At 39.8% G+C, this 15,978-nt stretch overlaps 2 annotated features.

Annotated features, from left to right (window-relative positions):
- Positions 6,792-7,292: an enhancer, noted in NCBI's record as "H3K4me1 hESC enhancer chr8:18006866-18007366 (GRCh37/hg19 assembly coordinates)". NCBI's record gives its function as "activates a minimal SCP1, AML or CMV promoter by ChIP-STARR-seq in primed H9 embryonic stem cells {active_cell/tissue: H9 hESC(primed)}" and the evidence as "EXISTENCE:reporter gene assay evidence [ECO:0000049][PMID:30033119]".
- Positions 7,293-7,793: an enhancer, noted in NCBI's record as "H3K4me1 hESC enhancer chr8:18007367-18007867 (GRCh37/hg19 assembly coordinates)". NCBI's record gives its function as "activates a minimal SCP1, AML or CMV promoter by ChIP-STARR-seq in naive and primed H9 embryonic stem cells {active_cell/tissue: H9 hESC(naive and primed)}" and the evidence as "EXISTENCE:reporter gene assay evidence [ECO:0000049][PMID:30033119]".

The following is a 15,978-nucleotide window of genomic DNA, read 5'->3' on the forward strand; positions in this document are numbered from 1 at the left end:
ATCTTTTCTTCTGATAGCCTCTTGGAGAGGGAGAGAAGTTAAAACTAAACTGCCAGGGGAGAGGATCAGATCCTTATTAGTAGTTCTAATTTTGTTATCAGAAAGGGGTGTCGATCCAGACCCCCAAAGAGGGTTCTTAGATCTTGTGCAAGAAACACTTCGGGCGAGTCCACAGAGTAAAGTGAAAGCAAGTTTATTAAGAAAGTCAAGGAATGGAAGAATGGCTACTCCATAGGCAGGGCAGCAGCTTAGGCTGCTGGACTAAGGACACTTTGAGTTATTTATTGATTATATGCTAAAGAGGGGGTAGATTATTCATGAGTTTTCTGGGAAAGGAATGGGAAATTCCCAGAACTGAGGGTTCCTCTTTTTTTTTTTTTTTTTTTGAGACGGAGTCTCACTCTATCGCCCAGGCTGGAGTGCAGTGGTGCAATCTCGGTTCACTGCAAGCTCCGCCTCCCGGGTTCATGCCATTCTCCTGCCTCAGCCTCCCGAGTAGCTGGGACTGCAGGCGCCCGCCACCGTGACCGGCTAATTTTTTGTATTTTCAGTAGAGATGGGGTTTCACCGTGTTAGCCAGGATGGTCTCGATCTCCTGACCTCGGGATCCGCCTGCCTCCGCCTCCCAAAGTGCTGGGATTACAGGCATGAGCCACTGCGCCGCCTGGTTCCTCCCCTTTTTAGACCATATAGGATAACTTCCTGGTTTTGCCATGGCATCTATAAAGTGTCCTGGCACTGATGGGAGTGTCTTCTAGCATTTACAGAACAGCTTATTCCTACAAACTTGTTCGACCAATTATTCTGTTTCCCAGCAGCCATCCATCTTTTTTAACTCAAGTGTTATATGACCTTGGAAATCATGGTTTTTACAGATGTTTGAATTATGCCGTATGAAGTCATCTTGATGGTTTCCAGATGATAATAACTTTATAAAGTATTTTAGTACTGGCATGCTAATGCATTATAATTAGCATAAAATGAGCAGTGAGGACCACCAGAGGTCACTTTCTTTGCCATCTTGGTTTTGGTGGGTTTTGGCTGGCTTCTTTACCACAGCCTGTTTTATCAGCAAGGTCTTTATGACCTGTATCTTGTACCGACCTCCTATCTCATCCTGTGACTTAGAATGCCTTAACCATCTGGGAATGCAGCCCTGTAGGTCTCAGCCTTATTTTACGCAGATCCTATTCAACATGGAGTTGCTCTGTTTCAAATGCCTCTGACAATTTTATGACTATGACCCTTGCTTACTTGTTACCAGAACCAAACTCAACAATTAGATGAGATACCCTCACGTAACACTAGGGGGAATATGCTTATGTGGTGTCTGTGGCCACGCTGTAAGTGCCACTTACCCAGGAGTCATTTGGAGAATCAGATAACGATGAGGAACCACATGTAAAGGTTCTTCAATACTGTAACCAGCAGCTTAGCAGCTAAGCCTCAAACTGCATTTTAAACTATTTTTTCTTCTTTCCTTTTTCCTCTTCCTCCTCCCGGTCTCAAGATATAACTTTGAGACAAACTGCATGTATGTTACCGCTCATCTTAAAGTACAGCCTCAGAATGGGCTGTGAACCTCTACTCCCTTTCCTTTCTCATGCTATACTCCCTTGCCTTATGCACATTTATTCACCTACGTGCTTGCTAAGCACATACCATGCCCTCTCTCTCTCTCTCTCTTTTTTTTTTTTTTTGAGATGGAGTCTCGCTCTGTTGTCCAGGCACAATCTCAGCTCACTGCAACCTCCGCCACCCAGGTTCAAGCGATTTTTCTGCCTCAGTCTCCTGACTAGCTGGGATTACAGGTGCACAACACCACACCCAGATAAATTTTTATACTTTTAGTAGAGATGGGGTTTCACCATGTTAACCATGCTGGTCTCAAACTCCTGATCTTAAGTGATCCGTCTGCCTTGGCCTCCAAAAGTGTTGGGATTACAGGCGTGAGCCACCACGCCCGGCCCGGCCCATGTTCTCTTACCTGCTCATATATTTCCTTAGAAGCTCAGCAGTCAGATTCGGATAGGGATCAGTCGCCTCTGGAATTCTTTCTTCAACAAAAGATTACTTTGAGGATGGAACCCACACCTGGCTGAAGAGTGACTAATTTATAACCTGGCAGAATCCATGATGGTGCCAGCCCCTTCATCAATTGCGACAATAATTTAAGAGGACCACAGAGCAAGTCATGCCACCTGGCACCCTCTGCCCACTTTCCTTCTTCTGCATTTCAAACCCTGTCTTTAAAAACTCATGTTCCCTCCACAAATTGGAGAGTGGAACTTTTTTCTGCTCTTCCCCTGCTAGCATGAATAATAAAATCTTTCTTGCTCTTACTACAACTCATTGTTATTTCTGACTTCTCTCTGCAAACAGTAGACAGCTGGACCCTTTTTCCGGTTACTTACAATACAACCTCTACAAAAAAAGAGCAACAGTTTAAAGTAATAGTCCTTTTTCTCATCAGGGGACAAACAAAACACTTGAGAGTAACAAATGCTTTTTCTGGTAACAGTACCTAACGGTGGGTTGTTTGAATTTTTGGCAAGAAAAAAGAGAAGAACACTGAGATAAACAGCACTCGAATTCTTTTGTTTAGCCATCAAGAAGTAATTACCTTTCAGTTTTCCCGATACCGGCTAGAAAAATTTATCATAGTGTTTAAACTATCCACAGAAACAGACCCAAGGGGAACCTAGACCCTAGAAATGGATATGGATGGATAGGTCCAAAAGGCATAAAGAAAGCCTCCATGCTCACTCGCTGCATGGACAGAATTTCCAGCCTTGGATTGACATTATTCTATCATCATCAGATTGCTCTCTTATTCAAAACGTAAATACCACCCTAGATGGGGTCACAGGGAAGCTGATATCTATTGGTCCCTTAAGGTGCATTTTTTTGCGTGATGTCCCTCCCTTCCTCCCTTCCTCCCTCCCTCCCTTCCTTCCTTCTTTCTCTCTTTCTCTTTCTCTTTCTCTCTCTCTCTCTTTGTTTTTTTTGTTGTTGAGACGGAGTTTCACTCTTGTTGCCCAGGCTGGAGTGCAATGGTGTGATCTCAGCTCACTGCAACCTCCACCTCCCGGTTTCAAGCAATTCTCTTGCCTCAGCCTCCCGAGTAGCTGGGACTACAGGTGCACGCCACCACACCAGGCTAACTTTTTGAATTTTTAGTAGAGATGGGGTTTCTCTACGTAGGTCAGGCTGGTCTCAAACTCCCTACCTCAGGTGATCCGCCTGCCTCGGCCTCCCCAATGCTGGAATTACAGGCGTGAGCCAGCGTGCCCAGCCTGGGGCGTCATTTTCTCTGTGGCATCTAGCAGATTGACGACCTTGAGAAATGGAAACTGTGAGAGACAAAGGAGTGTATGGGAGAAATTGTGGGCTGTAGCCTCATAGACAGAAATCTCTTCTGCAATATTCCTAGCTACTTCAGACTCTCTGGTTTGCAGACCCTCCAACATCCCTAACAACTTTACATAGTGATCACATGTACTGCTTAAGACATGTTTGGAAGAACTAAGCGTCAATTACCTGTCTGAACGGCTAGGATGCCAGGCTGCTGTGTGCAGACATCAGGTCCCTGAAAGAGGAAGATGAGCGGAGAGGTGGATTTTACCCTGGGCTTATTTTCTCTGCACCTGCCAGACTTCTTAGTTGCAACCACCTATATTAACTCTGCTTATTTAAACAGATAAGTAATTTATTATAAGGAGATCCAAAAATTTTAAAATTGATAGGGAGGTTTGGCAACAAGGCAACCATACAAAGAGACAAAATTTACTAAAAGTCATACCACAGAAAGAGCTTGATAGGGTCACTGGACACTCAGAACTGCTGCTGCTGGGCTGTGCCCCTCCCCACACTTTCAGCCACATTGTAGAACCCTAGATCCATCACAGTCACCACAAGAAGACACCCCTATTCTTTGTGTTACTCTTCAAGACTCAAAGTCCATAATGTAGCATCAGATTGGCTGAGTCTAGGTCTCATGTCCACCTTCCTAGCTGCCACATGATCGTCAAGACAGAACAGCTGCCCAGACTTCAGCTTCCAGTGTAGAATGTTGGACGTGCTTCTCCATCTTGAAATTCATTCCAGATAGGAATGATTGGATGCTGAGAAGTCCAAAGCAATTGTCCAGTGTTTTAGCTACAATGGAACCAAGAGACTGTAGATGAAATATGCATAAGATAGGTCGTTCTTTGGTTCTGTCTTATTTCATGACATCAGACACGAAACATAGTTCTGTATTATTTCTTTCCACTACAGATGAAGAACAGGAATTAAAAAAAATTCTCTAAAAACAAAGACCTTGAATTACCTGGGGAAGAGATGTTGGAATTTAATAGGCTTTTACATTTATCCTTACTTGTCTCCTAAAGTTTAGGATCAATATTCTAACAGCCTCATCCAAGGTTTCTTTATTCTTTTCACTTTGAAGAAACCAATTTTAACTAAGCCCACAGACTGTGAAGAGGAAAGGTGAGAAGCCAGAGGCAGCTTGTCATTCTGGGCTTAAATAAGGAAGAAACTTGAACCCAGTCACCTTGAATCTGAATGATGAACAAACTGACTAATTTTCTGGGTTGATTGAAACTCAAAGCTGAATACTCCCACTATCTAACCTGGAATTTTGCCTTCATATAGGCATACTGGGAATTCTGACAGGAGTGAGTGACAGCCCTAATCCCTGTCTCTCTGTATGTCAGTGACCTTTTGGAGGGGGCAAACTCAAATATGCTTGAGTTTGCAACCCTGTACAGCTTGAAGAGAGCTAAGGGAAATGTGGGAATTAAGGACATAAAAAGGAAAAAATGATTTCACCTAAACAGACATGTTCTCTAACTATGGTGGAGTAATACATTTTGAAATATATCCCATTTTTTCCCCTTTTGAGTCCCTTAGAGATTCTCCACCCCCTCAATTCCCAGCAATCCTTAAACCATTGAAACTAGAGTAAGAGACTGAGGCTTTTACCCCTGGAAAATGGCAAAAAATTTTTTCTAAGAAGCGGGAAAATGTAATGATAAAATAGAATCACCTAAATATATTTGGTTGAGAGGAGGTTTTAGAACAACAAAATTGGTGCTCCATTTCTCCAGAGTGTGTCATTATGAACCAACATGGTACTAGATGAGCCACAGGTGGCTGATGGAGGTCCCCATTTGTGTGGACATTAGGGTGGCATCTTAAGGCTCAAGTGGAGTCAAATAAACAGTTGAGAGTTAAACTAATTGTGAGATGGAACTGGAAGTGCTGAAAAATGTAGTCAACTGGGAGATATACCTGGGGTCAAAATGTCAAGGCTGCAAGGTGCAGGAACCTCAGAACTGGAGGTAACCGCAAAGTACATGATCATCATCAGCAGACGCCAGCATTATGCCTAAAACACCAGGAAGGACCACCTATATTTTAAGAGATTATAGCACAGGATTCCAAAGACCAGTGGATGCTGAAATAAAGAGACTGTGCTCAAAGATCAAACGATGTCAGACATTAGAACGGAAGTCAACAGCAGTATATATACAGACCACACACCCTTCCTGATCACCTAGGATGTTAAATGTAAGTTTGCCACTGCTTCCAAATGCCATCTTATGGAGAAAGAGGCAAAGGGAAAGAGAAGAATAGCCCAAATAAGGAGTTAATACTTCAAATGGATAGTTTGAGTCATTCTGTTGTGAAGCTGGCTAAATATTGACACAAATGATACCAATTTTAAGGCGAAGATGAATATAATAACTTGAAGAAGAAAAATCATTGCCACTGGTAATAAGAGTTGCAGGAAAAATTGAGTTCAGAAATAGGCAACTTTTTAGAAAGGTATTTCTCTGTGTCTCAGTTGAAGTATGTACATTTTACCAACTACAAAGGAAGCAGTTTGGAATAGTTGGCAACCAGAAAACATATGGGACTTTCTGTAATTTGCATGGCTTTCTGTTGGCACTACTTGGAGGCACCAAGAACAATTTCTCCTTCCCCACCTGAATCCCTCAGAATTCTGGCCTCTGGTCTTTGCTTTGGGTCTTTCTCCCATAGAGACCTTATTAATGGCACAAGACACAAAAAACTAGCCACTTAAAGTGCACAACTTGTTTTGCTATAGATCAAAGGGCCATGGAATTAACGAGAACTATAAGGCTGCAAGGCCCCTGAGGGATCAACGAGTTTATCTTTGTCATCCTACACAGAAGGCTGAGACTCAAAGAGGCAACACCACTTGGCCCAGATCCCACAGATAGATATTGACAACATTTGACATAAAACGTACCATCTCTAATAGTGGAAAAACTTGTAAATGGTTTTACCAAAATGTGGTTGCTTCTATAGTAAAAATGTATACAAAGACTCTGGGAGTAAGAAGAGAAAGCAACTTCATTACGAGAGTCATAGAAACAACATACAAACTGGATCTTAAGTGAGAAGACTTATACGACTTGCAAAAGAGGAAACGGAGAAAAGGAATTTTTAGCAGAAAAAAGATGCACAAAGGTGTGCGGTGGACATGTGAGCATGACATAGGGACGTATGAGGAGTGAGAGAATTTGAGGTGGGAAAGGGATCTAATGACCGCTAATCTCATGTTTCCTTCTCCATTCCAGGCTCTGCTATAGACCTTTATTTCTTCCTATACTGTCCAGGAAGATGGTTCTCTTATGTCCCTTGTCCAATGTACATGTTTCCAGACTGAGTTCTAATCTACTCAGGCTGTCTGTGACTAGGGATATCTGTATCCCTTCTTGTAGCACACATTTCAGCTTTGTGAGAATACCAGAATCCAGTGTAGAAGTTGCAGCATCCTAAAAGAGCACAGAACCAAAAAATGGCCACATTGAAACAGGTAGGAAGAGCAGTTTCACTTTGCTCACATTTCTCCCTCCTTCAAGTTGGCATAGCTCACCACTGAGGGAGATCCACTTGGCCCACAATTTCTTCCAAGAAGAAAGGAAAGCGAGAGTGCATCCAACATCCCCACCTTGTAGGGCACAGGGCCAAGAGAAATGCTCCTGTCTTGACTCATTCAGAGAACTGAAGGATCCAGCATAGTTGGAATACCTATGCATAGCTAATAACAGATTTGGGATAGGTAGCTCTCAGCATTTGGCATGGCCTCCAACAGCCAGTGAGGGCCCCAGCAGCCACATGGCCTCCAACAGCCCCCACACACCTAAGAGCAGCCTTCATGGATCCAGCATACAACTCCCAGTCCATGGTGGGTCTCCCTGCAACTGATGAGACTTTCAGAAGCCTGCAAGTCCAGACAGCCATGCAGCACTGGATATCCAGCATGGGTTGCAGCTGCCAGCACTTATTGCACTAATTGCAGTTGTTGGTGCTGACCACAGCTGCCAGGGCAGATTGCAGCTGCCAGTCCAGTCCCTAGTGGCTGGCACAACCCCCAGCACTAAGCATGGGCCCTAGCAGTGGCAAGGATCTCAGTGGATGTCACAGTTCTTAGTAGATAGTATGCATTTCTGCAGATGTCACAGATCCGCAGACAACACGTATCTCAGCAGCCAGCTTAGTTCTGCAGGACTGGGAGAAGTCACACAATCCTGAGACTACTTCTGCAGGAGGGATAGAGAGAAGTGGAGCTTACACCCAACATCCTGGCATCTCAGTGCACTGCCCTAGGAAAAAGGAGAGGATGACTTTCAGTACCTGGCATGCAACTGGGGAAATGCACACAATCCTGAATTTTCTTTTCAGGAGAGAGGAAGGGAAGTTGAGCTTGTACCTAATGCTTTAGCATATCAATGCACTGTACTAGAGAAAAGGATAAGGCAGCATTTAGCATCCAGCACAACTCTGCAGGTTTGGAAGAAGAAGCACAATCCTGAGACTTCTCCCCAAGGCAAAAGAGATAGTAGCAGAATGTGTACATTTATAAAATAGTTTCGAGAGATATACAAAATCTCTAGACAGGCTGATTGTTAAAGGTTTTCTGCTGCTAAATCCAATCTGTAAAGACTAGAAAAAGTGGCTGCTTATTTAAATGCACAGACACCAATGCAAAGTTACAAGGAACACGAAGAATCAGAAAAATATGACACAAGCAAAGGAACAAAATAAATCTTCTGTACCCAATCTTAAAGACATAAAGATCTATAAATAGCATGATAAACAATTTAAAATAATCATCTTAAGAAGCTCAGTGAGCTACAAAAGGACATAAACAACTAAACAAAATCAGAGAAAAATGATACATGAACAATATGAGAAAATGAACAAAGAGATAAAAAATGTAAATAATGGCCGGGCGCGGTGGCTCAAGCCTCTAATCCCAGAACTTTGGGAGGCTGAGGTGGGCAGATCACGAGGTCAGGAGATCGAGACCATCCTGGCTAACATGGTGAAACCCCATCTCTACTAAAAATACAAAAAATTAGCCGGGCATGGTGGCAGTCGCCTGTAGTCCCAGCTACTCAGGAGGCTGAGGCAGGAGAATGACGTGAATCTGAGAGGTGGAGCTTGCAGTGAGCCAGGATTGCGCCACTGCACTCCAGTCTGGGAGACAGTAAGACTCTGTCTCAAAAAAAAAAAAAAAAAAAAAAAAAAAGTGAATAATAACCAAACAGAAACTCTGGAGCTGAAGAATATAATAACTAAACTGAAAATTCAATAAAGAGCTTCAACAGCAGAATTCATCAAGAGTAAGAAAAAAAATCAATGAACTTGAAGATGGGTCATTTGAAATGATCTAATCAGAAGAAAAAAAAAATAAAAAAAAGTGATGAAAGCCTAAGAGACTTATGAAACACTGTCAAGCAAACCAGTATACATATTATGGGAGCCTAAGAAGTAGAAAAAAGAGAGAGAGGCAGCCAGCTGTGGTGGCTCACACCTGTAATCCCAGCACTTTGGGAGGCTGAGGTGGGTGGATCACGAGGTCAAGAGATTGAGACCATCCTGGCCAACATGGTGAAACCCCGTATCTACTAAAAATACAAAAATTAGCTGGGTGTGGTGGCATGTGCCTGTAGTCCCAGCTACTCAGGAGGGTCAGGCAGGAGAATCACTTGAACCCTGGAAGTGGAGGTTGCAGTGAGCTGAGATCATGCCACTGTACTCCAGCTGGCAACCGAGACTCCATCTCAAAAAAAAAAAAAAAAAAAAAAAGAAAGAGAGAGAGAGAGGCGCAAAGCTTATTTTAGAAAATAATGACAAGAAAATCCCATACTTTGGGATGGAAATGGATATCCAGACTCATGAAACTCAAAAGACACCAAATGGAATCCAGACAGACACCAAACAGAACCCAAAGAAGTCTGCTTCAAGGCACGTTATAATTGAATTGTCACAAAAATACAGTTAGATAGAAGAAATAAGTTCTAGTGTTTGATAGCACAGTAGGGTGACTATACTTAAGAATAATTTATTGTATATTTCAAAATAGCTAGGAGAGAAGATTTGGAATGTTTCAAACACAAAGAAATGATAAATATTTGAAGTGATGGATGTGCTGATGACCCTTATGTGATCATTAAACATTGTATACATGTATGAAAATATCAGATGCACCCTATAAATATCTATAATTATTAGGCATCAATAAAATTAACTAAATTAATCTTTAAAAGTCAAAGACAGAGAGAACATTTTGAAAGCAGTAAGAGAAAGTACACTTTAAATGAAATGACCCATCACATAAAAAGGACCTGTAGTTGCACTGTGCTGAGATCATGCCACTGCACTCTAGCCTGAGTGACAGAGCAAGACTCCATCTCAAAAAATAAAAATAAAAAAGGGGACTCTAATAAGACTGTCAGTGGATATCTCAGCAGAAACCTTGCAGGCCAGAAGCGCGAATGATGATATATTCAGAGGGCTAAGAGGGGGAAAAAAAATGGCAACCAAGAATTCTATACCCAGCAAACTGTCTTTTCAAAATGAAGGAGAAAATAAAGATGTTCCTAGATAATGCTGGTCATGGTGGTTCATGCTTGTAATCCCAGCACTTTGGGAGGCTGAGGATGGTGGAACACTTGAGCTCAAGAGTTCGAGTCCAGCCTCAGCAACATGGTGAAACCTCATCCCTTCAAAAAATACAAAAATAAACCAGGCATTGTGGTGTGCACCTGTAGTCCCAGCTACTTGGGAGGCTTAAGTGGATAGCTTGAGCCTAGTAGGTTGAGGCTGCAGTGAGCCGAGATCACACCACTGCACTCTGACCTGGGTAACAGAGGAAACCTAGTCTCAAAATAAAAATAAAATAAAATAAAATAAAATAAAATAAAATAAAATGTTCCCAGATAAATAAAACCTGAGGGAATTCATCACCATCACATCTGTCTCAAAAGAAATGCTAAGGAGAGATTCTCATGTTGAAACAAAAGAATGCTAAATGACAACATAAAAGTATCTAACGGTTGAGACGAAAGGATGCTAAATGATAACATAAAAGTATATGAAAGTATAAACTCACTTTATAAAGGTAAATGTAAAGACAAATAGCTGATACTGTATTACTGTACTGTTTAAATCATTCTTTTTTTTTTTGAGACAGTGTCTCACTCCATCACCGAAGCTGCAGTGCAGTGGTGTGACCACAGTTCATTGCCACCTTGACCTCCTGGGCTTGGGCGATCCTCCCATCTCAGCCTCCCAAGTAGCTGGGACTACAGGTGTGTGCCACTGTGCCTAGATAATTTTTGTATTTTTTGTAGAGACAAAACTTTGCCATGTTGTCCAGGCTGGTCTCAAACTCCTGAGCTCAAATGATCCACTGGCCTCAGCCTCCCCAAGTGCTGGGATTACAGATGTGAGCCGTAGTGCCTGGCCAAAATCATTCTTAATTTTAGTGTGAACTATGGAAAATAGTATGAAGCTTCCTAAAATATATATATATATATATAATTACTATATGATCCAGCAATCCTACTCCAGGGTATATATCCCCAAAAATGAAATCAGGATCTCAAACAGATGTATGCACTCCTATGTTTATTGCAGCATTATATATAGTAGCCATAGTGATAGTCAATACTGAGTGTCAACTTGATTGGATTAAAGGATATAAAGTATTAATCCTAGGTGTGTCTGTAAGACTGTTGCCAAAGGAGATTAACATTTGAGTCAGTGGCCTGGGAAAGGCTGACCCACCCTTAATCTGGGTGGGTACCATCTAATCGGCTGCCAGCACATAAAGCAGGCAGAAAAACAAGAAAAGTCTAGACTGGCTTAGACTCCCAGCCTACATCTTTCTCCTGTGCTGGATGCTTCCTGCCCTCAAACATTGAACTCCAAATTCATTAGCTTTGGGACCTGGACTGGCTTCCTTGCTCCTTAGCTTGCAGACAGCCTGTTGTGGGACCTTGTGATCATGTGAGTTCATACTACTTAATAAACCCCTCTTTATTTATATATTATATAATATATATATATCTCCTATTAGTTCGGTCCCTCTAGAGAACCCTAATACAGCCATAATATGGAAGCAACCTAAATGTCCATCAACAGAGGAATGGATAAGAGATTATGGTATATACATACAATGGAGTGGTATTTAGCCTGAAATAAGGATAGTCCATTATTTGCAAAAACATGGATAGACATAAGTGAAATAAGTCAGTATAGAAGGACAACACTGCACAATTTTACTTATATGAGGTATCTGAAATAGTCAAACTTACAGAAGCAGAAAATAAATTGTACCAGGAAAACTAGATATCCACATGCAGAAGAATAAAACTAGACCTGCATCTCTCACCCTATATAAAAATTAACTCAAAATTGAGTAAAGACTTAAATGTAACTCCATAAGCTGTAAAACTATAAGGCAAAAACATAGGAAAAACATCAGGACATTGATCTAGCTAAAGATTTTATAACTAAGACTTCAAAAGCACTGTCAAGAAAATAAAAGAAGGACTATGTCAAACTAAAAAGCTTCTCCACAGCAAAGGAAGCAATCAGCAGAGTGAAGAGACAATCTGTAGAATGGGAGAAAATAGTTGCAAACTAATCATGTAACCAGGGGCAAATACGCAAAATATACGAGGAACTCAAACAACTTGATAGCAACACCCACATAATTTGCTCAAAAAGCTGGCAAAGGATCTGAATAGACATTCCTCACAAAATACAAATAAAAATAAAAGGCATACAAACAGCCAAAAATATATGAAATAAATGTTCAACACCACAAGTCAGCAGGGAAATGCAAATCGAAACCACGAGATATCATCTCACCCCAGTTAAAATGTCTATTCTAAAAAAGACAAAAAATAACAGATGCTGGTGTAGATGTGGATAAGGTGGAACACTTGTACACTCTTGATGGGAATGTAAAGTAGTACAGACCTTATGCAATACAGACAGGAGATGTCTCAAAAATCTAGAAGTAGAACAACTATATGATCCAGCAATCCCACCACTGGAAATCTATTCAAAGGAAAGAAAATCAGAATAGCAGAGGACTGTCTTCACCCTGCCCCCACCCCAGCTCCACGTTTACTGAAGCACTATTCACAATAGCTAAGATAAGGAATCAACTTCAATATCCGACAACAGATGGATTAAAAATATGGTATACACTATATACCTAATGGAATACTATTCAACTATAAAAGGAATGAAATCCCGTCATTCACAGCAACACGGATGAGTCTGGAGCATGCTAAGTGAAATAAGTCAGGCACAGAAAGATAAATACCACTTTATCTCACATGTGAGAGCTAAAAATTTAAAGTCCTGAAAGTACAGAGTAGAACTGTGGTTATTAGAGACCAGGAACTGTCGGGGGAGGGAAGGCTGGGGAGAGGTTTGTTAAGGGATACAAAATTATATCTAGATAGGAGGAAGGAGTTATGTTGCTACGTAGTATTATAGGGTAAATATGGTTAACTATAATTAATTATATGTTATAAAAAAGCTAGAAGAGAGGATTCTGAATGTTCAAAACACAAAGAGATGATACTTCTTTGAGGTGATGGATATGCTAATTTTCCTGATTTGATCGTTACATATTGCATACGCATATCCAAATAACGCTCTGTATCTCATAAATAGGTACAATTATTACATGCCAACTAAAAATAAAAGGATAAAAATCTCAGGCTCTGATGGTGGCACTAATGAATTCTACTAAATATGTAAAGAAGAACTAATACCAGTCCTTCTCAAACTCTTCCAAATATCGAATACAAGGAAATACTTTCACATTCCTTTTGTGACGTCTGCATTACCCTGATATAAAAGCCAGACAAGGAAATAAAATTACAGGCATATGACCCTGATGAACATACATGCAAAATTCCACAATCAATTAGTACGAACCTCAAATCAATAGCACATTAAAAGAATCATTTGTTATCATCAAATGTGATTTGTTTCTGGGATACGGGATGGTTCAACATAGGCGAATCAATAAATGTGATATACCACATTAACATAATAGAGCAAAAACATATCATCATCTTAAATGATGCAAAAATAGCATTTGACAAAAATCAACATCCCTTCATGTTAAAAACTCTCAAGTTAGGTATAGAAGAACTGTATCTCAACATAATAAACGCCACATATGACAAGCCCACAGCTAACATCATACTCAGCAATGAAAATGTGAAAGTTTTTCTTTTAAGATCAAGAATAAGACAAGGATACCAACTCTTGCCACTTCTATCCAACACAGTACTGGAAATTCTAGTCAGAGAAATTGGGGAAGAGAAAGAAACAAAATGGGAGCCAATTATAATCCTGGAAGACACAATTCAGAACACCAAAACCCCAAATGTTGAAACTGTGAAAGATCAAATTTCTAAAGTCTAAAATTCCATAAATCACAACCCTGAAAGACCAAAATCCCAAAAATATGATTCTGGAAAAAATAACACAAATTATTTAAGAGATACTTATTTAATTTTTAATAGGGGTTTTATTTAAGAAATATATACAACATGACAGAACATTTTCTAGGCTACTTTGTACAATAAAATAGGCAATAATAACATAGACGTTTTTGCAAGCATAAAGACTCAGATATACTAATGACATTCCATGGATATAATGATAATGAGCAGATAGACCATATTCATAAAGAAATAAATCAAAGGTGATATGTATAAATGCATATCACTATGATTGGTAATAGTAGGTTGGTGCACCTAGCTTTATAAGAGCAGTCATCTGAAATAACGTGACAGACAACCTAAGTCTTTTGACGAAATTCGTAAAAAAAACCCACAATGGATCACCATACATCACCACTGCACCAGTTGCCCAAAGAGCCAAGATTTCGAAAAATTTTATCTTTCACAAAAGTAGCTGTACAAAAGGACATCTCTTCATTTACTGATGATTTCAACATTTTTATCCACATGCACAATGCTTACACACAGTCAATGTTGTATAAATGCACCCTCATGAAGTCATATTTGCAAGAAATGCATAAAATAAATCAACTTTCTGAAAGTCTTTACACAATTTATACTTCCCATACTGGAAGTGATGTGACGGTGAAATACAAAGCACGGTGAATTGTAAAAAATAATGATAACAATCTAAAATAATGGGAAAAAACTTAAAAAAGGAAAAGCAAAGCCAAAAGCAAAAAAAAAAAAAAAAAAAAGCTAAAAAGAAAAAGTATATTAAAGGCATAGATTATGGGCAATTGCCAGGAGGTGGAGGTTGCAGTGAGCTGAGATTGTGCCACTGCACTCCAGTCTGGGTGACAGAGTGAGACCCTGTACCCACCACACCAAAAATAAAAAAAAGATTATGGGCAATTGCATGAAGATTGTCCATAAGAGTTGGTCAACTTTCATAATCATTAACTATATTTGAAGTCTTGCAACACAATAAATGACTACCTTTTTTTCCTTTTTGGACATGCTTTTCCTCAGGAAAAACATTCACATTCATTTTCTATGTGGTCCCGCTCTTTTGAAATTCTTTAATATCCGCTGGCATCGGCATTCCCTATTAGATTGTCTCATCTTCTGTGCCATGCTTCTCTGTTGTTTTGGGCACACAGAAACCATCCTGCATGCCCTTTTATACAGACCACAAATTTGGTAGAAATAATACCGGTATTAAATACAACACCATTGTCTAAGTGTCTTTTTACCTGCCCTGCGCATAATTATTTTCAAACCAGTCAGTAACTTCACTGGCTTCTTCAGGCAAATGGGGCTAATTTATTAAAAGCTTTTGGCATGTCATCAGCTGAAAGGAATGCCAACTCAGGCAAATGATGCATTTTTAAACTGAAGTTTACATCGTTGCCATATTACATGGCCAATTCACTCATCTGAATTTTTCACCAAGTGTACTGTGCTGACTTGAAAAAACCAACTTTATTGATAACACATTGAAATTCACTTTTAGAAGTTTTGGTTGCACCTAATTCCAAATCTGTCATTATGGTTTGGGAATTTAACTGAAACCCGTTTTTTCTTCAAAAGGACAAAGGCAAATAATATTTCTGCCTTAACAGTCCTGTGGTTGTGATTTTCAGGACTTTAGATGTTACGAATTTTAGACTTTAGAGATTTTGATCTTTAAGGATTTCAACATTAGGGATTATAATGTTTGGATTCTGTCTATTGGGATTATGACCCATGTAAAAGACATCTAAATGAGGAAAGAAGAAGTTAAATTGTCTCTGTTCGCAGATGACAATGTCTTATATGGGCAAAACACTTTAGACTTCACTATAAAACTGTTAAAACTAACAAATAAATTCTGTAAAGTTTTAGAAAAATAAACAAACATACAAAAATCAGTAGTGTTTCTACACTAACAACAAAATCTCATTTATAATTGCCACAAAAATAAAATACTTAGAAATAAATTTAACCAAGTAGGTGAAAGATTTGTACATTGACATCTATAAAACATTGATAAAAACGAAGACAAATAAATGGAAAGAATTCTCATGTTTATGTGTTGGAAGAAAGGATATCGTAAAATATTCTATACTATTCAAAGCAATCTACAAATTCAATACAATCCCTGCCAAAATTC

This window comes from Homo sapiens, chromosome 8 (genome assembly GCF_000001405.40).
Source record: "Homo sapiens chromosome 8, GRCh38.p14 Primary Assembly".
Lineage (NCBI taxonomy): Eukaryota > Metazoa > Chordata > Mammalia > Primates > Hominidae > Homo > Homo sapiens.